This window comes from Homo sapiens, chromosome 17 (genome assembly GCF_000001405.40).
Source record: "Homo sapiens chromosome 17, GRCh38.p14 Primary Assembly".
NCBI lineage: Eukaryota > Metazoa > Chordata > Mammalia > Primates > Hominidae > Homo > Homo sapiens.
This window is the reverse complement of record NC_000017.11, coordinates 50,216,485-50,242,323: the sequence shown is the minus strand read 5'-3', so window position 1 is coordinate 50,242,323 and position 25,839 is coordinate 50,216,485. Positions and strand designations below refer to the sequence as shown.

At 42.6% G+C, this 25,839-nt stretch overlaps 1 pseudogene, besides 3 other annotated features; it reads right to left on the bottom strand.

The window, feature by feature from the left end:
- Window positions 1-5,973: 5,973 nt before the first annotated feature.
- SUMO2P7 (SUMO2 pseudogene 7) lies at window positions 5,974-6,575 on the bottom strand (annotated as a pseudogene).
- Window positions 23,251-23,300: an enhancer, noted in NCBI's record as "active region_12380". NCBI's record gives its function as "activates an Ori minimal core promoter by ATAC-STARR-seq in GM12878 lymphoblastoid cells {active_cell/tissue: GM12878}" and the evidence as "EXISTENCE:reporter gene assay evidence [ECO:0000049][PMID:35858748]".
- Window positions 23,302-23,596: an enhancer, noted in NCBI's record as "tiled region #1443; HepG2 Activating DNase unmatched - State 8:EnhW". NCBI's record gives its function as "activates a minimal TATA promoter and a strong SV40 promoter by Sharpr-MPRA in HepG2 cells {active_cell/tissue: HepG2}" and the evidence as "EXISTENCE:reporter gene assay evidence [ECO:0000049][PMID:27701403]".
- Window positions 23,302-23,596: a silencer, noted in NCBI's record as "tiled region #1443; K562 Repressive DNase unmatched - State 8:EnhW". NCBI's record gives its function as "represses a minimal TATA promoter and a strong SV40 promoter by Sharpr-MPRA in K562 cells {active_cell/tissue: K562}" and the evidence as "EXISTENCE:reporter gene assay evidence [ECO:0000049][PMID:27701403]".

The following is a 25,839-nucleotide window of genomic DNA, read 5'->3' as shown; positions in this document are numbered from 1 at the left end:
GAGGCAGGAGAATCATTTGAACCCGGAAGGCAGAGTTTGCAAATAAGCTGAGATCATGCCACTGCACTTCAGCCTGGGTGACAGAGTGAGATCCCATCTCAAAAAACAAACAAACAAAATACTAAGAAAATATGATTAGAGTATGAACTTTAGTTAATAATAATGTATCATTATTGATCCATTAATTGTAACTAATATACTATGCTAATAATAAAGAAAACTGGATACAAGATGTATAAAAATGCTGTACTATGTTCATGATTTTCTGCATGTCTAAAACTGTTCTAAAAATAAAGTTTATAACTAAAAAAAACCCAACATTCATAGCTCATGGACCATAAAAAACAGGCCATGGGGCATATGCTTACCACTGCCTTAGAACAAATACTAACAAATTTTAAAGCAGTATAGGTAATTAGACATTAGTAGAGATAAAATAAATATTTTAAAATATTCAATTAATTCAAAAGAAGGCAGAAAAATAGGAAAAAGAAGTAAAGTATATATGGGGCTAATAGAAAATAGCAAGATGGTAGATTTAAGCCCAATGATGTTGACAATTACATCAAAAGTAAATTATCTAAATATTCTAAGACCGAATTATCAAACTGGATAAAATAAAACAAAGAACAAGACTCAACTTTATGCTATCTTTAATACGTAAGATTGGCACCTAATAATTTCAGAGAAATGATGGAAACCAGGAGACAATTATATGATGTATTTGAAGGCCAGGCACGATGGCTTATGCCTGTAATCCCAGACTTTGGGAGGCCAAGGTGGGATGATCACATAAGGCCAGGAGTTTGAGACCAGCCTGGCCAACATGGTGAAATTTCGTCTCTGCTAAAAATACAAAAATTAGCCAGGCATAGTGGCAGGCGCCTGTAATCTCACCTACTTGAGAGGCTGAGGCACGAGAATTGCTTGAACCCAGGAGGTGGAGGTTGCAGTGAGCCAAGATCACACCACCGCACTCCAGCCTGGGTGATAGAGTGAGATTCGGAATCAAAAAAAAAATTATATATTTGAAATGCTATAAAATAACTGGCAAACTAGACAAGTGAAAATATTCTCTAAAAGATGAAGAGGCTGGGCATGGTGCCATGCACCTGTAGTTCTAGCTACTTAGGAGGCTGAGGCAGTAGAACTGCTTGAGCCCAAGAGTTTGAGGCCAGCTTGGACAACATAGTGAGACTCTGCCAAGAAGGAGAAGGAGGAGAAGAAGATTCCATTCTGACATGTAAGAAGCTTGGAAGTAAGTTGTCACTCTGCCAACAAGTAAAAAGCTGAACCAACTGAAAAATCAACAACTTCCTCTTGGATTCATCACAGGGAAAGCTGCTGTACTCAAAACTGGAGAAATAGACAGGTGGAGATGGAGAATCACAATTTACCAGAGGAGAAGAAACACATCAGCAAAAATCCCCCCGGGAACCAGACCTGAACTGTAATTGATGAATTGTTGGAGGCTCAATGTGAACAAGTCTGAGAGTTAAAAATTCCAGGGGGAGGCCAGGTGCGGTGGCTCAAGCCTGTAATCCCAGCAGATTGGGAGGCTGAGCTGGGCGGATCACCTGAGGCCAGGAGTTCGAGACCAGCCTGGCCAACATGGTGAAACCCCATTTCTACTAAAAAAAAATACAAAAATTAGCCGGGCATAGTGGGACATGTCTGTAATCCTAGCTACTCAGGAGGCTGAGGCAGGAGAATCACTTGAACCCAGGAGGCAGAGGTTGCAGTGAACCAAGATTGCACCACTGCACTCCAGCCTGGGCGACAGAGCGAGACTCCATCTCAAAGGAAAAAAAAATTCCAGAGAGAACCTAGTTACAGGAGGGACCCCCCAACACACACACACTTTTGTAAGTTTTACTTACCTCCAGGAGGTTAACCAGGTTCTCATGTGAAATATGCCAGAGCATTCTGTTCAGCTTCACAAGGCCTGCCCTCAAGAGGAACTATTTTACCAGAGCCTAAACTATTGGGGTTTGTTTTTTTTTCAGAGCCTACAATTTCACAGGCTCTTTAAAAGATTGAGATAATCATCGGTTAGAGAGCACTTCCCCTCTCCCACACTTTACCACTACATTACTAAAGAAACTGCAGTTTATTTTGCTCAGCACATCAATCATGTCTTGCTATCCAAAAAAAAAAAAATTACGAGACATGCATACTGAAGGATAATAGAACATAGTTTGAAGGGACAGAGCAAGCATGAGAGCCAGACTCAAATATGGCAGGGATGTTAGAATCATCAGGCCAGGAATTTAAAAATAACTATGATTAATATGCTAAGGGGGGGGCGGGCACAGTAGCTCACGCTTGTAATCCCAGCACTTTGGGAGGCAGAGGCAGGCAGATCACCTGAGGTCAGGAGTTTGAGACCAGCCTGCCCAACACAGTGAAACCCCTGTCTCTACTAAAAATACAAAAATTAGCTGGGCGTGGTGGCGGGTACCTGTAATCCCAGCTACTTGGGAGGCTGAGCCAGGAGAATCACTTGAACCTGGGAGGCGGAGGTTGCAATGAGCCGAGATTGTGCCACTGCACTCCAGCCTGGGTGACAGAGCTAGACTCTGGTCTCAAAAATATATATATGCTAAGGGTGCTAATGGATAAAGCGTACAGCATGCAAGGCCAGATGGACAATGTAGACAGAGAGATGGGAATTCTAAGAAAGAACCAGAAGGAAATATTAGGGATCAAAAACACCATAACAGAAAAGGTGAATGCCTTTGATGGGCTCATCAGTAGGCTGAACACAGCTGAGGAGAGAATCTCTGAGCTTGAGAATATGTCAATAGAAACCTCCCAAAACAGAAGAGAAAACAGTCTTCTTTCTGAAGACTGAAAACACACACATACATGCACCACACATGCACACACAAAGCCCAGAATAGAATATCCAAGAACTGTGGGACAATTGCAAAGGGTGTAACATACACATAATGGGAATACCAGAAGGAGAAGCAATAAAGGAATAGAATAAATATTTGAAGCCATAATGACTGAGAATTTCCCAAATTAAAGTCAGGCACCAAACTACAGATCCAGGAAGAATTTGAGAACACGAGGCAGGATAAAAGCAAAAAAAAAAAAAAAAAAAAAAAAAGTCTAAGCATATCCTATGCAAGCTGCAGAAAATCAAAGATAAATACAAAATCTTGAAAGAAACCAGAGGAAAAAACCAACTTCCTCATAGAGGAGCAAAGATAACAATTACATCTGGCATCTCCTCAAAAACCACGTAAGCAAGAACAGAGTGGAGTAAAATAGAATCATGCACCGCATAAAGACATTTCGATCAATGATGGACCACATACAATCGTACGGTGGTCCCATAAGATTATTACACCATACCTTCACTGCAGCTATTCTACATTGAGATATGTTTAGATACACAGACACTTGCCATTGTGTTACAGTCACTTACAGCATTCAGTACAGTAACGTGCTGTACGGGTTCATAGCCTAGGAGCAACAGGCTATCTCACACAGCCTAGGTGTATAGTAGGCTCTGTTATCTAGCTCTGTGTAAGTTCCCTCTATGATGTTTGCACAACAATGAAATCACCCGATGATGCATTTCTTCAAATGTATCCCTGTTGCTAAGTGATGCATGATTGTATTTAAAAAGTGTTGTGAGAGAAAAACCATCTACCTAGAATTCTGGGACCTGTGAAATTATTCTTCAAAAGTGAAGAAAAAATAAAATGCAAAATTATGTATCTTCAATTTACAGAAGATAACACAGGAGAAAGCCTAGATGATCTTGAGATTACTTTTTAGATAAAACACCAAAGGCTTGATTCATGGAAGAAAAGATTGATAAGCTGAACTTAAATAAAATGAAAAACTTCTGCTCTGCAAAAGACACTGTTAAGAGAATGAGAAGACAATCCACAGATGGGGATTGTCTTTTTTTGCAAAAGACATATTTGATAAACAACTCTTCCAAAATGTACAAAGAACTCTTAAAACACAACCATAAGAAAACAAACAATCCAATTAAAAAATGGGCAAAAGATCTAAACAGACACTTCACCAAAGAAGACATACAGATGGCAATTATATATAAGAAAAGATGCTTAACATCATATGTAATTAGGGAATTACAAATTAAAACAACAATGAGATACCACTGCATACATATTAGGATGGCCAAAATCCAGAACACTCACAACACCAAATGTTGGCAAGGATATGGAACAGGAACTTTCATTTGTTGCTGATGGGAACGCAAAATGGCACAGCTACTTTGAAAGACAGTTTGGCAGTTTCTTACAAAACTGAACACATTCTTATCATACGATCTAGCAATTTTGTCCCTTGATATTCATCCAAATGAGTTGATCACTTATGCTACACAAAAAACCTGCAGATGAATGTTTATAGCAGCTTTATTTGTGATTGCTGAAACGTGGAAGCAATCAAGATGTTTTTCTGTAGGTGAATGGATAAATAAGCTGCAGTGCATTCATACAATGGAATGTTATTCAGTGCTAAAGAGAGATGAGCTATCAGGCGGTGAAAAGACATGAAGGAAACTTAAATGCATATTACTAGCTGAAAGAAGCCAATCTGGAAAAGCTACCTACTGTGTGATTCCAACTACATGGCATTCTGGAAAAGGCAAAACCTAGTAAAAGATCAGTGGTTGCCAGGGGTGGGGAGAGATAAGGATGAACAGGCAGAGCACAGAGGATTTTTAGGGCAGTGACACTATTCTGTATGATGCTACAGTGGTGGATATATATCATATACATTTGTCCAAACTCAGAATACTTAACACCAAGAGTGAACCCTAATATAAACTATGGTCTTTGGGTGATAATAATGTATCAATATGAGTTCATCTATTGCAACAAATGTACTTTTTTTTTTTTTCTTAAGACAGAGTTTTGCTCTTGTTGCCCAGGCTGGAGTGCAATGGCATGATCTCGGCTCACTGCAACCTCTGTCTCCTGGGTTCAAGTGATTCTCCTGCCTCAGCCTCCCAAGTAGCTGGGATTATAGGCACACACCACCACGCACAGCTAATTTTTGTATTATTATTAGAGACAGGGTTTCACCACATTGGCCAGGCTGGTCTTGAACTCCTGACCTCAGGTGATCCACGCACCTCGGCCTCCCAAAGTTCTGGGATTACAAGTGTGAGCCACTGCTCCCCGCCCAAATGTACTATTTTGATAGTAGCAGAGACTATATGGGGACAAGGGGTTTATGGAAAATCTCTGTGCCTTCTGCTCAGTTTTTTTTTAAAAAACAAGAAGTTTATTTAAACAACAAGATGCTTGACTTGAAGGGAAAACTATCTAGGATTCTTTTTTTTTTTTTTAGAGCAATTTCTCCCTACTTAAAGACAGATTACCCTACCTGTAACAGCTATGTACAAAAAAGTTATAAAATTGTCCTTGGTTTTACAATGATAAATGAAAAACATTAAAATTCTCCAACTGAACAGGTATGCAAGGATTTTTATGTTTTGTTGTTGTTGTTAAAACAGTGAGAGCAAAATAACTTACTGGAATATAAAGATAGGAGCTGAATGAACATGACGCTAATGGAGAAAGGGGGTATTTTCACAGAATCAGTATTTTTCCCCATCCCGTCTCCACTTGATGCCAATCAAAACATACCATTGGCTGTTTAGTTTAAAAAAATGCACTATGCTTGTGCACATATATCAGTTACTTTATGTACAATAAAGAAATTGGGAAGGGGGAAATCAAATAATAGAGAAAACTATATTGTAATAGTCAGGATTGGGTGGAACCAAATTGCAGTTTTCTAATTGAGAATGTAATCTCGTAATCTTGGTCTTTAAAGAATTGAGTTCTGTGGTAAAGAAGCAGGTTCGGGCCGGGCACGGTGGCTCACGCCTGCAATCCCAGCACTTTGGGAGGCCGAGGCCAGTAGATCACGATGTCAGCAGGTCGAGACCAGCCTGACCAACATGGTGAAACCCCATCTCTACTAAAAATACAAAAGAATTAGCTGGGCGTGGTGGCGAGCGCCCGTAATCCCAGTGACTTGGGAGGCTGAGGCAGGAGAATTGCTTGAAACCGGAAGGCAGAGGTTGCAGTGAGCCAAGATTGTGCCACTGCACACTCTAGCCTGGGCAATAAGAGCAAAACTCTGTCTCAGGGAAAAAAAAAAAAAAAAAAAAAAAAAAGCAGTTTCCCTTCTCAGTAGACACCTCCCATCTGCTGTTGGAACACATCAACTGTATCTTCAGCCTCCATTTCCAACTGTGCAGCTGTCTCTGTTTCATTGAGTGGTTGCCCGTCAAATTGGAATCTGATTTGCCTCATTGACAATCCCTGTCATTCACAATAGGCTTTTATTAGTTTACTGAGTGGTGTATGCCTCTTAATCTTAAACTGCACCACAGAACCATCCTGCCCCACCACCTTCAAATCAATATAATCATTGCTCTCAGTCTTTACTCCTTCCTCGGGCTTTTCATGGGCCATGGCGAGCGCCAGAGTGTCCTCAGATGCTGCTTCACAAAAGAGGTACCAGGTCCTCACTGAACAAGCACACAAGCAGCACCAGGAGGGGCAGAAGAACCCTTCTGCTCAGTTTTGCTGTGAATCCATCCACTGCACATCCTACAGGCAATTGAGATATTATGATACTATAATGACTCTGCACTAATAAATTAGAAATTTTGGATAAAATGCTCAAAATTTTTGAAAAACACAACAAATCTTATGGAACACCATGTATAGTCCTACATCTATTAGAAAAATTGTATCAGAAATTAAACATTTTCCTACAAAAAACACTTCCAGATGGCTTAGCTGCTTAATTCTTCCGAACATTAAATAAAGAAATAATACCAGTTTAACACAAACTCCTTCAGAGAATAGAAAGAACACTTCCTAACTTTTTGGATGAGGGCAGCATAACCTTGATATTAAAACCGAACTAGGACATTACACCAAATGATAATTACAGAACAATTTATTTCAAAACACAGACATAAAATCCTAAACAAAAATAATAGCAAATCAAATTTAGTACTAAATAAAAAATGATAATGCATCATGACAAATTTTAATTCATTCCAGAAATGTAAGGTTGGCTTCACATTTGAAAACCAGTTATATAAATCACAGCATTAAAAGTATAAAGGAACAAAATCATATTTCAGTAGATGTTTAAAAAGCAATTGATAACAATTCAACATTTATTCATGATAAGAATTCTTAGCAAGTTAAGCATAAAAGGAAATTTTCTTAATCTGATAGTGAATTTTAAAAACACAGCAAACTTTACATTTTATGGCATGAAGTATTGAAAATCATCCCTTTGAGAGTGGAACAAATTGAGGATGCCCACCACCACCATTTCTGTTCAATATTGTATTGGAGTCCTAGCCAGTGCAATAAGGCAAGAAAAAGAAATAAAAAGTGTAAGGTTTGAAAAGAAAAAAATAAAACTGTGGCTCTTCATTGATGACATGATTATGTAGGTAGAACATTTTTTAAAACTACAGATATGTGCCAAGCCCAGTGACTCATGCCTGAAATCTCAGTGCTTTGAGAGGCCAAGGCAGGAGAATCACTTGCAGCCAGGAATTTTAGACCAGCCTGGGCAACATAGGGAGACTACAAAAAATTAAAAAATTAGCCAAGTGTGGTGGTGCATGCCTGTGATCCTAGCTACTTGGGAGGCTGAGATGGGAGGATCACTTGGACCCAGGAGGTTGAGGCTGCAGTGAGCCATGATTGCACCACTGCACTCCAGCCTGGACAACAAAGCAAGACTTTGTCTCAAAAAACAAACAAACAAACAAACAAACAAAACCCTAGAACTACAGATATGCTGTAAGTTATTAAATTTAGCAAGGTTCCTGGAAACAAGGTTGACGTTGAAAACTTTCCAAAAGTGGGCAATAGCAATTAGAGAATGAAAAAAAAGTCAATGAAAAAAATCAAATCCCAAACACCTAGGAATAAATCTGACAAAATATTCTCATAATTTTTGTTTGTTTGTTTTTACTGGAGATGAGATCTCACCATGTTGCCCAAGCTGATCTCAGATTCCTGAGCTCAAGCAATCCTCTCAGCCTTGGCCTTCCAAAGTGCTGGGATTACAAGCATGACCCACCACACCTGGCCTATGCTCATGATTTGATACAGAAAACTATAGAATATTAATGAAGGGACAAAGACCTTTTAAAAAATACATAGAGATACGCTGTATTCATAGATTGCTAGTGTCATGTTATAACGTGGTCAATTCTCACCTCAATTGACCTACAGATTCAATACAACCTAATATAACCTCATTTACTGCTGGTAGGAATGTAAAATGGTGTAACTTCTTTGGAAAACAGTTTTATATTTTCTCCAAAGGATAAACATAAGGTTACCTGTGGCCCAACAATTCTAATCCTAGGTATATATTCAATGAAAACATATGTCCATACAAAAATTTGTGCATGAATGTTCAAAGTGGCATTATGCGTAATAGCCCAAATGTGGAAAAAACAGATGAATAGGTAAAGAAATGTGGTATATCCGTGGAATGAAATATTACTCAACTGTGAACAAGATTGAAGTACTGACAGGGGCTACAACATAGATCAACTTTGCAAACATTATGCCACATGAAAGAAGCTACTCACAAAAGACCACATGTTTATGATTCCATTTATATGAAATATCCAGAACAGGCTTATCTATAAAGACAGAAAAATAGAATTAGTGATTGTCTATGGTTGGGGGTAGAGTGGGAGAGAAAAGGGAATGACTGTTGATGGGCATGGAGGTTTTCTTAGAGGGTGATGAAAATATTGTAAAATTGATTGTGGTGACAGCTGTACAACTCTGTAAATATGTTAAAAATCTATTGAATTATACACTTATTTACATGGGTGAATCATGTGGTATGTGAATTACATCTCAATAAATCTATTTTATAAAAACATTTTTAATCCTTGAAGGTTATTTTCTTTTTCTTTTCTTTTCTTTTTTATTTTTATTTTTATTTATTATTTTTTTTGAGATGGAGTCTCCCTCTGTCACCCAGGTTGGAGTGCAGTGGCAAAATCTTGGCTCACTGCAACCTCCGCCTGCCAGGTTCAAGCGATTCTCCCACCTCAGCCTCCCATGTAGCTGGGATTACAGGCACCCACCACCACGCCCAGCTAGTTATTGTATTTTTAGTAGAGATGGGGTTTCATCATATTGGCCAGGCTGGTATCCAACTCCTGACCTTAAGTGATCCACCTGCCTCGTCCTCCCAAAGTGCTGGGATTACATTTTGGTGGAAATCGACAAGCTGATTCTAAAATGTATAGGGAAATGCAAAAGGCCAAAACTAATCATCATAAATAAGTACAAAAATGAAGGGCTTAAACTACCTGTTAGTGAGACTTATTACAAAACTCTAGTAGTGCAAACAGTTGGTATTGGCAAAACTTACAGACAAATAGACCAATGGGACACAACAAAGAGTTCAGAAACAGGCCCACAGCTATATGATCCAGTGAAATGACATAAGGAAAGAATGACCTTTTCAACAAATGATACTGCATACATTTAATATTCATGTGGGAAAAAATGAACTTTGACCACTACTTTAGACCACAAAGAAAAGTTAGTTCTAGGTAGGTCATTAATCAAAATGTGAAGAACAATAGAAACAGACTTCCCAAATTCTGGAAAAAAAAAAAAAAAGTTATTTGTCACCTAAAATTGTATACCCAGTAAAATTATCATTCAAATGTAAGGGTAGATTAAAGACATTTTCAGATGTACACCTTCTCACAAATCTATTGGAGGATGAGCTCCTGAAAAAACAAGAGAATAAAACACGGAAGAGGAAGACATGGGCTTTATGAAAAGGGGGAATCCAGTCTTGGAAGGATGGTTCAGGAGATTACAGCTTGAGGGCTGTTCACCTGGGCTGGAGAGCAACCAGTTGGATTAGGATGGATAGAAAGCCTTCAGAAGAGATTGCTTCAAGAAAAGGAACCGAACAGAATTCTTGATGTGTCTGAACATCCTAACGGGCGATTTGGACCACTGGGATTGAAATGGTGGTAATTACACGGAAAACTAAATGAACATCACCAACAACACAAGAAAAGTATGAACTCCAGGAGAACAAAGAGCAGAAGTGATCATAGCACACGACACAGCTCAGATAAGAATGACGATTATGTAGTTATAGTAAGGTACACACTGAATATTGGCTAACCAAAATTATCATGCAACCACATTCGGAGGCTGGTACGACTGGAAGTGTGACTGAATGTGGTAAAGGTTAGGAGTCAAAGAGAAGTAAATCAGCCAGGCACAGTGGCTCACACCTGTAATCCCAGCACTTCGGGAGGCTGAGGCAGGCAGATCACTTGAGGCCGGGAGTTCGAGCCCAGCCCGGCCAATATGGTGAAACTCTGTCTCTACTAAAAATACAAAAATTAGCTGGGGATGGTGGCATTTGCCTGTAATCCCAGCTACTTGGGAGGCTGAGACATGAGAATCGTTTGAACTCAGGAGGCAGAGGTTGCAGTGAGTCTGGATTGTGCCACTGCACTCCAGCCTGGGCGACAGAGCAAGACTCTGTCTTAAAAAAAAGAGAGAGAGAGAGATTGAGAGAGAACTAAATCCTCATCTTCCATACTGGGAAGTCAAAAGATGATTTCCCAAATTGAAATATCAAGAAGTCATAATGAAAGCAAGTTATTTCGAGATACAGAGAATATCTATATAAAAAATAGCTGATCGCATTGAAGATCACTGGCGCTGGGGAGAAGGAGATAGTATGAAGGAGGACGGGACTACTGCCCTTTTTTAACCTGCCCCATAGATTCCTGGCATCTAAATTAAATTATGCACACATATACTTTTGGTAAAAATTAGAAGTACATTTTTAAAGAGTAATTGTGAATTGCAAAAGAAAAAAGAACATTTTAGAATACAGAGACTAACAAAGGAGAATATGTTCATGATCTTGGTATTAGACACAAAATTCTTAAACAAGACCCACATACACACACAACTAACCACAAGGAAAACATTAATAAATTGGATTTCAGTAAAATTAAGGACGTCTGTTCATCAAAAGACATCACTGAGTGAAAAGGCAAGCCACAGAAAGATATTTCCTTCCTTCCTCCCTTCCTTCCTTCCTTCCTTCCTTCCCTCCCTCCCTCCCTCCCTCCTTCCTTCCTCCCTCCCTCCCTTCCTCCCTCCCTCCCTCCCTTCCTCCCTCCCTTCCTTCTTTTTGAAACAAGGTCTCGCTCTGTTGCCCAGGCTGGAGTATATGGCTCACTGCAGCCTCAACTTTCTGGGCTCAGGTGATCCTCCCACCTCAGCCTCCTCCTGAGTAGCTGGAACCACAGGCACGCACCACCATACCCAGATAATTTTTTTTTATTTTTAGTAGAGACAGGGTTTTGCCATGTTGCCCAGGCTGGTCTTGAACTCCTGGACTCAAGCAATTTGCCCACTTCGGCCTCCCAAAGCACTGGGATTACAGGCATGAGCCACCATGTCCTGCAGATATTTTCAATATATGTATTTAGCAAAGGACTTGTGTCCAGAACTTATTTAAAATATCTTATAAAATAAAAAAAGTTTGACAATCCAATTTTTTTCAGAAAATGGGCAAATGATTCAATATACTTTTCATAAAATAAGATATCTAATTGGCTAATAAACATATGAAAACGTATTCAACATATTTATCAGAAAATGCAAATTAATACCACAATGAGATACTACTACATATTCACTAGAATGGCTACAAATTAAAAGACAGACAATGCTACTAATAAGGATGTGGCCACTGGGACTCTCATACGGATGGGAGGAGTGTAAATTTCTGCAACCACTTTAGAAAAAACTCTGGCAATAACTACTAAAGCTGAACATATACATTCTCTACAACCCAGCAATTTCACTTTCAAGTATATGCCAAATAGAAGTGCACCTATATATGCATTAAAGGGGCATGTGCAAGTTTGTAACCACGTTACTTCTAATGGTAAAAAAAACAAAACAAACAAGCAAAAAAAACTTGAAGAGGGCCAGGCACGGTGGCTTATGCCTGTAATCCCAACACTTTGAGAGGTTAAGGTGGGAGGGTCACTTGAGCCAGGAGTTTGAGACCAGCCTGGGCCACACAGTGAGACTCCTGTTTCTACCAAAAAAAAAAAAAAATTAGCCAGGTGTGGTGGCATGCACCTGTGGTCTCTTCTACTCAGGAGGCTGAGGTGCGAGGATCATTTGAGGCTGGAAGGTTGAGGCTGCATTGAGATATGATTGCACCACTGCACTCCAGTCTTGGCCACAGAGCAAGACCCTGTCTCTCAAAAAACAAACAAACAAAACAAAAACTTGAAGAGTCAAATGGGCCATCAGCAATAGAATGGGCATACAGAAGTTGTGGTATATTCATTCCATGGAATAGGAGGCAAAGGCAAAGGGCAAGCTACTGCCACGTGCAACAGCATGGACAGATCTCACAAATACCATGAAGCTAGTCCCAAACAGAAGAATATACTATATGTTTCCATGTATATAAAATTAAAAATAAGCCAAACTGTTCCATAGGGATAGAAGCTGGTTATCTAGAAGAGGGCAATAACCGGATGGGGTATGAGGGAGACGTCTGAGGTGTGGGTAATGTTCCATATCTTCATCTGGTTGGCTGTCACATGGATTGTTCACTTTGTAAAGGTTTGTTGAGGTATGCACTTAATATGCACTTAAGATTCGTACACTTCACAGTAAGTAAATATATATATGCATGTAAAAAATTGTTCTTCCCCTCTTTTTCCCCTTCCCTCTTTCCTTCCCTTCTCTTTCCTTCCTTTGCATACTCTTTCCTATTTTCCTTACTGGAACAGTTCAGCCCTGAAGTCATCAGGTAGGCCAGAGCGAGGTTGGCACCCATGGTGATGAGAGTGGGAGCCACAGTGTCCCAGAACAAGATATCAGAGCCAGAGTAGGGCAATGAGGGAGGGGGAGGGGATGGCTGGTATGATCAGTTAGCTTGACTGGGGTGAGGGCATCCATGCGTTGGAATGGTCCCGTACAGTTTATCAGATCCTAGTAGTTGAGGAGAGCATCCCTACATGGGGATGGCCTGGCATGGGAAATCAGAACCAAAGTAGAGGTAAGAAGGATTCTAGGCCAGGCACGGTGGCTCACGCCAGCAATCCCAGCACTGTGGGAGGCCAAGGCAGGTGAATCTCTTGAGGCCAGGAGTTCAAAACCAGCCTGGCTATTGTGGCAAAAGCTTGTCTCTACGAAAAATACAAAAATTAGCTGGGGGTGGTGGCACGCGCCTGTAATCCCAGCTACTCAGGAGGCTGAGGCACAAGAATCACTTGAACCTGGGAGGCAGAGGTTGCAGTGAGCCGAAATCATGCCACTGCACTCCAGCCTGGGTGACAGAGTGAGACTCAGTCTCATTAAAAAAAAAAAAAAACGATTCTACATGTAGGGGTTGGGGTGGGCACATTGGGGGTACCAGAGCCTAAGAAGAGTAAGGAGGGCATCCACCTGAAAAGGAAGTGGCAGCAGAGATGGAGAGTGGTAAAGAGTGGTTACAAAGAGGGGGATTTATCAAATAACTGTATATGTTAAGGATAATAGAAGCCAGGTTTCTCATTGTTGGAGAAGGACATTACAAATAGGGAAAGAGAGAAAACTAGAATGAACCCTGTGGTGTTGGACTGGAATTGGAGGCATCTGTAGGAATCCATAGTTTTCAATATATACAGGTAAATAAAGAAATGTAGCTGCGAATATGTGTAGGATTGTGTATTCCTGTATTAGTCAGGGTTCTCTAGAGGGACAGGACTAATAGGATAGATGTATATATGAAAGGGAGTTTATTAAGGCAAATTGACTCACACGGTCATAAAGTGAAGTCCCACAATAGGTTGTCTGCAAGCCGAGGAGCAAGGAAGCCAGTCCAAGTCCCAAAATCTTGAAAGTAGAGAAGCCGACAATGCAGCCTTCAGTCTGTGGCTGAAGGCATAAGAGTCCCTGCCAACCACTGGTGTAAGTCCAAGAGTCCACATGGCTGGGGAGGCATCATAATCATGGTGGAAGAAGAAGGAGGAACGAAGGCACATCTTACATGGTGGCAGGCAAGAGGGTGTATGCAGGGGAACTGCCCTTTATAAAAAAAATCAGATCTTGTGAGATTTATTCACTATCATGAGAACAGCACAGGAAAAACCTGCCCCAAGATTCAATTACCTCCCACTGGGTCCCTTCCATGACATGTGGGGATTATGGGAGCTACAATTCAAGATGAGATTTGGGTGGGGACACAGCCAAACCATATCAGCTAATAACTTCCTAAATATCCCACCTCCTAATACTATCACTTTGGGAGTTGGTATTTCAACAGATAGATATTAGGGGGCCACTAATATTCAGTCCATGACAGATGCAAAATGATTATTATCTTTTTTTTTTTTTTTTTGACAGAATCTCACTCTGTTGCCCAGGCTGGAGTGCAATGGTGCAATCGTGGCTTACTGCAACCTCTGCCTCCCAGGTTCAAGCGATTCTCCTGCTTCAGCCTCCCAAGTGGCTGAGACTATAGGTGCCCACCACCACGCCTGGCCAATTTTTGTGTTTTTAGTAGACACGGGTTTTCACCATGTTGGCCAGGCTGGTAGCTTTTGACCTCAGGTGATACACCCACCTCAGCCTCCCAAAGTGCTGGGATTACAGGCATGAGCCACTGCGCCTGGTCCCAAATGATAATTATCTAATTCCATCATTCCTTCTGTCATTCTACTTACTGAAAAAGCTTTCTCTTTCCTTCCTTCCTTCCTTCTTTCCTTACTTCCTTTCTTTCTTTTTCTTTCTTTCTTTCCTTTTCTTCTCCTTCCTTCCTTCTTTCTTTTCTTTTCTTTCTTTCTCTCTTTCTTTCTGTCAGTATTAAGGTTATTATTTTAATGCTCAAGTTGTTCAGATGCAGCCAGTGAGACCTCTTCAAGCTGGCTTCTGTGTCTTTTTGATTCATCCCTGCTATAGAGTGAATTATGTCCCCTCCCCCTAGCATTCCTATGTTGAAGGATTAATCGCCAATATGACTATATTTGGAGATATAGCCTTTAAAGAGGTAATTAAGGTTAAAAGAGGCCATAAGTGTATGACCTCAATCCAATAGGACTAGTGTCCTTATAAGAAGAGAAAGAAACACCAGGAGGATGTAAGCACAGAGACAGGCCATGTGCAGACACAGTAAGAAGGCCACCATCTGCAAGCCAAGGAGAGAGGCCTCAGAGAACCCAACCCTCTCAATGCCTTGACCTTGGACTTCTAGCCTCCAGAACTGTGAGAAAATAAATGACTTATGTTAGCCTCCCATCTGTGGTGTTTTATTATGGCAGCTCAAGATGATTTAAATAGTCACCATCATTCTCTGAGCAGTTCCTTACTTTCTGTCACAAGATGTCCGAGGCAATATATAAGATGTCATTTTGTACATTCCCTGCCCCAGCCTTGAAACCAACCATTTCTCCAAAGAGTTCTGGTTCCTTTTAGTGGAAAATGATACCTAGAAACCAAAATGTAGGTGTTAGGTGCTCATTACCATTGGAATGTCACTACTTTGAAGCCTTCTTTGTGGGCAGCACTAGGGAATTGTGAAATAGCTTTGACCAAAATGCTGATAGTGATATGGACAATAAAGTCCAGGCTGAGGTGGTCTCAGATGGAGATAAGGAACTTGTTGGGAACTGGAGCAAAGGTGACTCTTGTTATTTTATTTATTTATTTATTTTTGAGACGGAGTTTCGTTCTGTCACCCAGGCTGGAGTGCAGTGGCATGATCTCGGCTCACTGCAAGCTCTGCCTTCCGGGTTCATGCCATTCTCCTGCCTCAGCCTCCCGAGTAGCTGGGACTACAGGCGCCCACCACCATGCCTGGCTAATTTTTTTGTATTTTTAGTAGAGACAGGGTTTCACCATGTTAGCCAGGATGGTGTCAATCTCCTGACCTCATGATCTGCCTGCCTTGGCCTCCCAAAGTGCTGGGATTACAGGCATGAGCCACCACACCTGGCCAACTCTTGTTATGTTTTAGCAAAGAGACTGGCAGCATTTTGCCCCTACCCTAGAGATCTGTGGAACTTTGAACTTGAGAGAGATGATTTAGGGAATCTGGTGGAAGAAATTACTAAATGGCAAACCATTGAAGAGGAAGCAGAGCTTACAAGTTTGGAAAGTTTGCAGCCTGATGAAGCAATGGAAAATAAAAACCCATTTTCTGGGGGAAATTCGAGCCTCCTCCAGAAATTTGCATAAGTAAGAAGGAGCTGAATGTTAATCACCAAGACAATGGGGAAAATGTTTCCAGGGCATGTCAGAGACTTTTGTGGCAGCCTCTCCCATCACAGGCCTGGAGGCTGAGGAGGAAAAAATGGTTTTGTTGGGCCCAGGATGTCCTGCTGTGTGCGGCCTAGGGACTTGGTGCCCTGTGTCTCAGCTGCTCCAGCTGTGCCTAAAAGGGACCAAGGTATAGCTGTGGCTTCAGAGGGTGCAAGCCCCAAGCTTTGGCAGCTTCCACATGGTGTTTTTCCTGCAGGTGCACAGAAGTCGAGAATTGATGTTTTGGAATCTCTGCCTAGATTTCAGAGGATGTATGGAAATGCCTGGATGTCCAGGCAAAAGTTTGCTGCAGAGGCAAAGTCCTCATGGAGAACCTCTGCTAGGGCAGTGCAGAAGGAAAATGTGGGGTTGGAGACCACACCCAGAGTCACCACTGGGACACTGCCTAGTGGAGCTGTGAGAAGAGGGCCACCAACCTCCAGACCCCAGAATGGTAGATCCACTGACAGCTTGCGCCATGCACCTGGAAAAGCTGCAGGCACTCAATGCCAGCCCATGAAGGCAGATGGAAGGGTAGCTGTACCCTGCAAAGCTACAGGGGTGGAGTGGCCCAAGGCCATGGGAGCCCACCCCTTGCATCAGCAAGCGCTGGATGTTAGACATGGAGTCAAAGGAGATAATTTTGTAACTTTAAGGTTTAATGATTGCCCTATTATATTTCAGACTTGGATGGGGCCTGTATCCCCTTTGTTTTGGCCAATTTCTCCCCTTTGGAATGGGTGTATTTACCCAATGCCTGCATCTCCATTGTATCTAGGAAGCAACTAACTTGCTTCTGATTTTACAGGCTCATAGGCGGAAGGGACTTGCCTTGTCTCAGATGAGACTTTGGACTTGGACTTTTGGGTTAATGCTGAAATGAGTTAAGACTTTGGGGGACTGTTGGAAAGGCATGATTGTGTTTTGAAATGTGAGGACATGATATTTGGGAGGGGGCGGGGGCAGAATGATATGGTTTGGCTGTATCCCCACCCAAATCTCATCTTGAAGTGTAGTTCTCATAATCCCCACGTGTTGTGGGAGGGACCCAGTAGGAAGTAACTGAATCATGGGGGCAGGTTTTTCCCCATGCTATTCTCATGATAGTGAACATATCTCATGAGATCTGGTGGTTTTATAAAGGTAAAGTTCCCCTGCATATGCTGACTTGCCTGCTGCCATGTAAGACGTGCCTTGCACCTCCTTCACCTTCCTCTGTGACTGTGAGGCCTCCCCAGCCATGTGAAACTGTGAGTCCATTAAAACTCTTCTTCTTTATAAATTACCCAGTCTTGCATATGTCTTTATTAACAGTGAGAAAATGGACTAATACATTAGGTCATGAGGGTGGAGCTCTCATTAATGGGATTAGTGCCTTATGAAAGAGACCCCAGATAGCTCTCAAGCTCTCTTTCTGCTATGTGAAGATGCAACAAGAAGTTAGCCATCTGCAACCTGGAAAAAGGCCTTCACCAGAACCTGACTGTGCTGGCGCCATGACCTCCAGAACAATGAGAAGTAAATGTCTATTATTTATAAGCCCACCCAGTCTGTGGTACTTTGTTGCAGCAGTTCAAACTAAGACAGCAACAAATATAATTTAAAAAAATATTTCAGGCAAAAGCCCTCAATGGATTCTAAGATTAATGGGTGCAGGCTGGGTGTGGTGGCTCATGCCTGTAATCCCAGCACTTTAGGAGGCCAAGGTGGGCAGATCACTTGAAGTCAGGAGTTTGAGACCAGCCTGGCCAACATGGTGAAACCTCATCTCTACTAAAAATACAAAAATTAGCTGGGCGTGGTGGCATGTGCCTGTAATCTCAGCTACTTTACTTGGGAGGCTGAGGCAGGAGAACCGCTTGGACCCCGGAGGTGGAGATTGTAGTGAGCCAAGATCATGCCACTGCACTTCAGCCTGGGCAACAGAGTGAGACTCTGTCTTAAAAAAAAAATTAAATTAAACTAATGGGTACAGATTGGATAAGGAATGGGACTTGATATAGTTTGAGATCCTCCCCACAGAAAACAATGGGAAAAGAGTAACTTTACAGTGGATAGACCTTGTAGATGCCACCTTAATCAAGCAATCGAAGTTAACATCATCAGTAATGGGGCAAATTGAAATCATGCACCACCCGATAAGATGCAGTGAGAAGAACATGGCATCACTTCTGTGATATTCCTACCTCAAGTTCATAACTTGAATCTAATCATTAGGAAACATCAGACAAACCCAAACCAAGAGACACTCTACAAAATCATGACCTGTGATCCTCAAAATTTACAAGGTCATGAACAGCAAGGAAAGACTGAAGATAAATGCACTGTATGATACTGGATTGGGTCTTTTTGTGACAAAGGATATTTGGGACAAATGGCACAACATAAATAAATTGTAGTAAAGTGTTTATATTTTTATGGTTGCATTGTGGTTGTTTAGGTGAACATTATTGTAGGATTTACACATAAGAATATTCATGGGTGATGGAATATCGTGTCGGCAATTTACCATCAAATGCTTCAGGAAACAAAACTGCTTCGCACTATTCTTGGAACCTTTCTATAAACTTGAAATTATTTCCAAATAAAAAGAAAAAAATGGTAACAAAAAGCTTATAAAAATTATGTGTATGGGAAAAGTACGTGTGTGTATATATGCTAGCAGCCAAGGGGGAATGTTTTGGACATTGAGTGTTTCTACCTGCCTTAGCATTTGTTTCTCCTTCTTCCAGAAACAGCATCCAGATTTTATTTTGGGGAACTGCCCTTCCCCCACTCTTGGTCAATGCCTTGCTGGTGTAGGCACATGCCCAAGTCAACCAGCATATTTCATCCGCCAGCCATGGTCACTGGTTTAGAGACGGGCACATGACTTAAGTCCATCCAATACGGGCAAATCTTGAGATTTTTTTTTTTTTTTTTTTTGACAGACTCTCTGTCACCCAGGCTGGAATGCAGTGGTGCAGTCTCGGCTCACTGCAACATCCATGTCCTGGGTTCAAGCAATTCTCCTGCCTTAGCCTCCCGAGTAGCTGGGATTACAGGCACCTGCCACCACCCCCGGCTAATTTTTATATATTTAGTAGAGACAGGGTTTCGCCATGTTGGCCAGGCTGATTTCGAACTCCTGACGTAAGGTGATCTGCCCACCTTAGCCTCCCAAAGTGCTGGGATTACAGGCATGAGCCACCGTGCCTGGCAAATCTTGGGATTTTTTTTTTTCCCTCTTGAAACTATTGTGAAAGAGTTTCTGTTTTTCTCCTGGGGTTGCTTAGCTTTTAGAAAATAAGCCTGAGGCAGCTGGGTGAGACCACCGCACAGAGCCAAGCTGTCCAAGAAGAAAAGCTATTTCAGAGAAAAGCAAAAGAAGAGGTAGAGAAACTGAGTCTTCTTGATCTTATTTTAGCCGATAGATCCAATTGTACCTACCTTTTTGGTTAAATAAGCCAAATAGCTTTAATTTTCTGTTTAAGCCACTTTGAATTAGGCTGTTGGCACTTGCAACTGAAAAAATCATGACTAATATTAGGAAATTCCTAATTCAGCTGGGCTGGAGTTGAGAGTGGGAAAGGGGTGGGGAGAGCTGTGGCTGGCAGTCAGACTTGGCAGGGCCTCTGGGCATCAGGATCCAGTGGGCGTTCTGCGGGCCTGAGAAGCACTTGAAGGTGCTTTTGAAGAAGTGGCAAGAGCGGGTGGCAGGGAGACAGTGACCAAGCAGAAGTCTTTGAGTGACTTTGGACAAAGCTTGGGCCCAGGCTTATTCCCAATCGGCGCCACCTAACAGTTTGCTACCCAGCCCGGAGCCCAGTGGCCACACCCTTGGCACATCCCTGACCAGAGACACCTGCAGGCTTGGCCCTGGTCTTCCCTTCCAACCCTGTGGTTACTAGGCCCTGCATTTCTTCACCCTGCCTTGGTTGACAAAATACCCTGTCTCCAGATTATGCAATCAAGCACTGGGACAACCCTATGGGGGAGGTGAGGCTGGGATTATTCCCATTTCACAAGAGTAAAAATTAAGGCTCAGAGACGTAAAGCAACCTGTCCAAAGTCACACAGCTATGTGGCGGGCAGAACCAGGACCAGGAGATAGGGCTTTTCTCTCCAAGTCCACAGCTCTTTCCAGAACTCTCTTGAGTTTTAGAATTTCTGAGCTAGAGCTAGGAGATGGCACAGCTTCTCTGGTATGGGGGATGTGGTGGAAGACAGAATCCACCCCTTGGGTTTTGAAACCTCCCTCGAGTGAGCGGGGAGGGGTGGAGCCAGACTTTCAGAGGCTCATGAGGCCCTCAGGAGAGGGAAGTGGGCTGAAAAGGAAAGTAAACTAACAACTTTACTTGAGGAATGATAATTGATCTAATACATGCTACATGCTTACTTCCACCAGGCACTGTTCTACCTACTTTAGGTTCTCACAATCTTATGAACAAGATCTATGATCCCCATTTTAGAGATGAGGAAACTCAGGCACGGAAAAGGGAAGTAACTTGTCCACAGTCACACCGCTGGGAGAAGGAGCGGCTGGGATTTGAACTGGAAGTCTGAGCCCGCAGGCCAAGCTCTCATAGCGCGACTGCACTGCTCCTTCTGTGCGCCAGGCACTGTGCTAGGAGCCAGGATGAACCTGACAGTTGTACCCCAGTCCTCCCAGAGAGGATCCTCAGGAGGGTGGGATGGGAGTGGGCAGCCAGGCAGAGCGGGGCGCTGGGAGAGACCCTGCAGCAGAGCGGGACGGCCAGGGACCCAAGGGAGTTTTTGAAGAGAAGTGTAGCCAGAAACGCCTAGGGGAGAGCGGGGGGTGGGATGGTAGGTGGAGAGGGGCCTGTTCCAAGCAGAGCAGGGCAGGGTCTGCGCTGGGCAGGATGCCCGGGGCCTCGGGGCTCAGGAGGGGAGCGCTGGGGGACGGAGGTGGCTGGAAGGCCGGAAGGCAGTGAGAGCACGTTAGCTAGTCCTGAGCGGCAGGGCCTGGGGGTGACTGGGGAGCTCGGGTCCTCCCCAGTGGGAGGGGACCACGGCGCAGGAGGCAGAGCGGGGAGGAAGGATGAGGCACCTGGTGGCAAGACCACTCTGGCTGCTGCCTTTCGGAGAAAGACTTGGGCCCTAGGAGGGAGGGGCAGGGAGAGGAGCTGGGAGGCTGTGGCAGGAGTTTGCAGAGACTGCAAGGCAGGAGGAAGGAGACGGCGCTCGGGGAGAATCCACAGGTGGAGAGATATTAAGGGAGAACCCCATTTGATGGCCATTTTGCAGCGGAGAGTTAAAAGCCCACACTTAGCTGCCAGACCTCAGTTTGAAGCAGAAGTCGCCATTCATTTGCAATGCGACCAAGGGCAAGTGACTTAACCTCTCTGAACCTCGGTTTCCTCATCTGTAAAGCAGAGCTAATGACCCATGTATCTCATTGTGAAGACCGTTGTAAAGATTGAGACAATGTAAGCAGGCGTCTGGACCTGAGTCCTAAGTAAACCCGAGCATTCTGGACACTGTCCTTTAGGTCTTTTTGCAGACATCCAAGTCTGGGGGAAAGAGTCTTTGGGGCAAGGAGCATAAAAAGTTTCTGGGTCCTCTCCTAGCCTCTCCCCTCCAAGCTGGGTGGCTTTGGGGAGAAGCTCTCTGAGCTTCTGGGTTCTCGTCTATAAAATGGGGATACTAGCATTTTCCTCACTGGACTTTGAGCAGAACAGCTGGGACAGAGCTGTTGGACATGGAGCAGAGCATTGCTTTTGTTTGAGCAAGAGCTAGTGACCCACCAGAAGGCTGTGACAAGGGTCAGCTCAGCTAACACAGCAGGGCTGCGCTGGACAAGCAGGGCTCACAGGATCCTAGGGGCCTCCCTGGATTCCCTATGGGATTTCTTTATCTGCCATGGAATGCAGCCTCGGCAGCAACGGGAGTGTTCTCACACTCAACATCAGCAGCCCTTACTGGGCATTGAGCTCATACATCAACCACCCACTTTAAACAAGTTTTAAAACAACAGTGTATTTCTAAAATCATTTTTGAAATGCAACTGTGTAAAAGTAACATGAAGGATAATTGTTACATATCAGGGAGGGTGATGATACCTTCTGAAAATTTCCGCCAGTACGTCTGCGCCCTGTGTGACAGTAGGAGCCATAAGGAGTTTTCATATCCTGTCAGTTTCTTTTCTTATTCCTTATTCGTACCAAATTAGAAAAATCCTAAACCACAATTATAGGTCATTAGAAATGGCAGCAAATGTTTGGTGGCTCTGACAGATGGTTCTGGATTCAGACCAAACAAGAATTCAGAAATCACAGACCTCTTTCTTCCTAAAGACTGCTCTCCCCTCTCTCGGACATTAGGTCAACAGGTACAAAGCTTTCAAAAGCCAGAAGACTAAGTATTTCACCCAGGGAGAGGGGGGCGGCGGTGGGGGGGAGCAAGCAGAGTCATAATCCTTTCTTTGGTTGAATTTGACTCCGGAAAGAATTCTTTAAGTTCTGAGTAATGTTTGGATGTGGTTTTTAAATAGTCTTAATAATATGTCACCGATTCCTTTCTCCTGCTCAGAAACAAAATCACCAAGTGCTGAAAAAGAATCAAAATAAAAATGGAGCAGTCATACTGCTGTTTGGTTTTAAGAAATTCTGCTAACTTGCTCCTCAACAGTAAATATTGTAATTGGTGATGTCTGGACAATACAGATATTGAATATATTGCCATTTGAGCAAGTCACTCAGGATCTCAGAAGTGGCCTTGAGTGGAGAAATGGGGGGGGTTTTGGTTTTGTTTTGTTTTGTTTGAGAAAGAGTCTCACTCTGTTGCCCAGACTGGAGAGCAGTGGCATGATCTCAGCTCACTGCAGCCTCTGCCTCCCAGGCTCAAGTGATCCTCCCACCTCAGCTCCTCACCACCCCACCCCAGTAGCTGGAACCACAGGCATGCACCACCATGTCTGGATGATTTTGTTTGTACTTTTTGTGAGACAAGGTTTTGCCATGTTGCCCTGACTGGTCTTGAACTCCTGGACTCAAACAATTTACCCGCTTTGGCCTCCCAAATGCTGGAATTTCAGGCATGAGTCACCAGACCCAGCAGCACATCATTGATTTTTAGCCAGCTTCACATGGGGCCACAAGAATGTTTGAAAAAGATGAAATGAAACCATTTCCTTAAGTCATTGACTAGGCCACTGAAGATCAGTTCTAAGATCTTAAACAGCTTGCTCAGATGACAATATATGTAATAACTGACAGTTCAAACCTCACCTTAGAGGAATAAAATGTCATTATCTTTTTTAAAATTTTGGTATTACACAAACTATCACTGGGCAAAAACTTACATTTTTCAATGAGGAGTATAAGATAGCCGGATTTATTAAAATCAAACTATTTTCTCATAATATTTGCAATTGACACCACGTGATATCCAACACTGTCATTTGATAAAGGAAATTTGCCAAAAGTTGGTTTTTCATTCTCTGTGAGAGAAATGTGTATCATTAATAACACGGCTGTGTTACAATCTTCTCAGATAGTATTACTTTGTAGCTGTGTTTTACTAAGAGGAGTGCACTTTTAAATGCTGCCTCTGTCATTTTGTTTTTCTTCCTGCCTTTACTGGGGGAAAATCCATTAATTTTGTCCTGGAAAGCTTATTTTGCTCTTGTTCTGGAAAAAAAAGAAAAGTCTCTGATGGTTTACCAGAAAGGTCACTGTGCTGTGTTTGAAAATGATGTGAAAATCTTGATGGCTTTATGCCACTATTTGACAAAGTTTCATAACACACAACTCACTGGGGATTAAAATGGAATAGATCACCAGTCCAGTAAAGTTAAGTTCAGATCTTCAACATCATACTCACTATTTACACTTTTTCAGCTACTTGTGTGAAATTGTCAGATGTGTCCCAGTTCTCAGAGATTTACATATTTTTGAACTAGATGCTTGTTCACTATGTATTTACTTTTCTTCTTTCTTCCTTTTTTTTTTTTTTAGCCCAGCCATATGCTTGGACACTACGTATTTACTTTTATAACACTATTCTCAGTTGTAGTATTTGGGTTACTATTTTTCTCACTCTTCTTAGGCTTTAATTAACCACTTTTGAATCACTGGCTTATTATTTGGGTTGAGGATATTACACATCACAAAAATAATAACCAAAAACCCATAAGTGACATGAAAATATGTCTCTGGAGATGATCTGCCCAAGCTGGATCAGCCAAATTCAAATTAGAGGATGCACAACGTTGGAGAATGTGACAGTTATTAAGAACAAAATGGGGCTGGGTGCAGTGGCTCACGCCTGGAATCTCAGTGCTCTGGGAAGCTGAGGCAGGAGGATTACTTGAGCCCAAGAGTTCAAGACCAGCCTGGGCAACAATGTGAGAGCTTATCTCTAAAAAAAATTTAAGGATTAGCTGTACATGGTGGCGTGCGCCTGTAGTCCCAGCTACTCAGGAGGTTGAGGCAGGAGGGTAATTTGAGCCCAGTTCAAGACTGCAGTGAGCTATGATCACACCACTGCACTCCAGCCTGAGGGACAGAGTGAGAACTTGTCTCTGAAATAAATAGATAGATAGATAGATAGATAGATAAATGTACAAGATGGGATTGTTGCAAGAATCTTAATCAATTAATCAATTTTGCATTTCAGATTTATGAGTAGAGCAATTCCATCCTTTTTTTCCTTAGAGGTTTCCTATGGACCACTTGTATACCTTTAGGGACCCCCCCAGTGGTCCATGAACCACACTTTAGGAAAATTCTATAGCCATTAAGTCTGTCGTCTGAACCATGAAATGTAGTTGGGTGGGGGGAATTGTCCTGTTACCCTGGTCTCTGGCCACCTAGAGCTGGAAGAGTGCATCCTTGGCTGAGTGACATGTTAAGTGGGAGGGACCTTGATAGACACATAAGGGGCATCAAGAGAGACCCAGGACATGTAATGAGCAGAAACCTGGACAGCTCAGTCTGGAGGATATTCATGGGATGATGTAGGATCTGTCAGGACTCAGCTCATGATGGGCGGCTCTGGTCCCCTGATGTCCCTTGGTTAGGTGTTCTGTTTCTACCAGGGTCCTGTAGCATGCAATAAGCTGGTTTTGACTAGTAAATAACCCCCCAGAACTCTAGAGGTCTGCATTGTAATTCTCCTATTGTGGTGTCAGCTTTTCTTGATGTCACAAATACCCCCAATGCCATAGGGTCTGTGGGTCTTAAGGGCCAAGTGGCAGGACCATTTGCACCACACCTGGAACTGTTGAACAGCTCTTTCTTGCTCTGTGTCTCATTCAAATTTGACAGCCTTTAATGTCACCTGTAAAACATATTCCCAAAGGTAGAATATGTTTTCTCCAGAGTCTGAGGAGGCCTACCAGATGAGCTTTCTTATCTGCTGGGCAAGAATTTCTCCTTTTCTTTGGAGGGGATGTCTAGTCATGCTTCTGACTACCAAACCACTAAAGATCTCACTGATGTTAGTAAGACACTAAATCTTTGTAGGAGTTTTT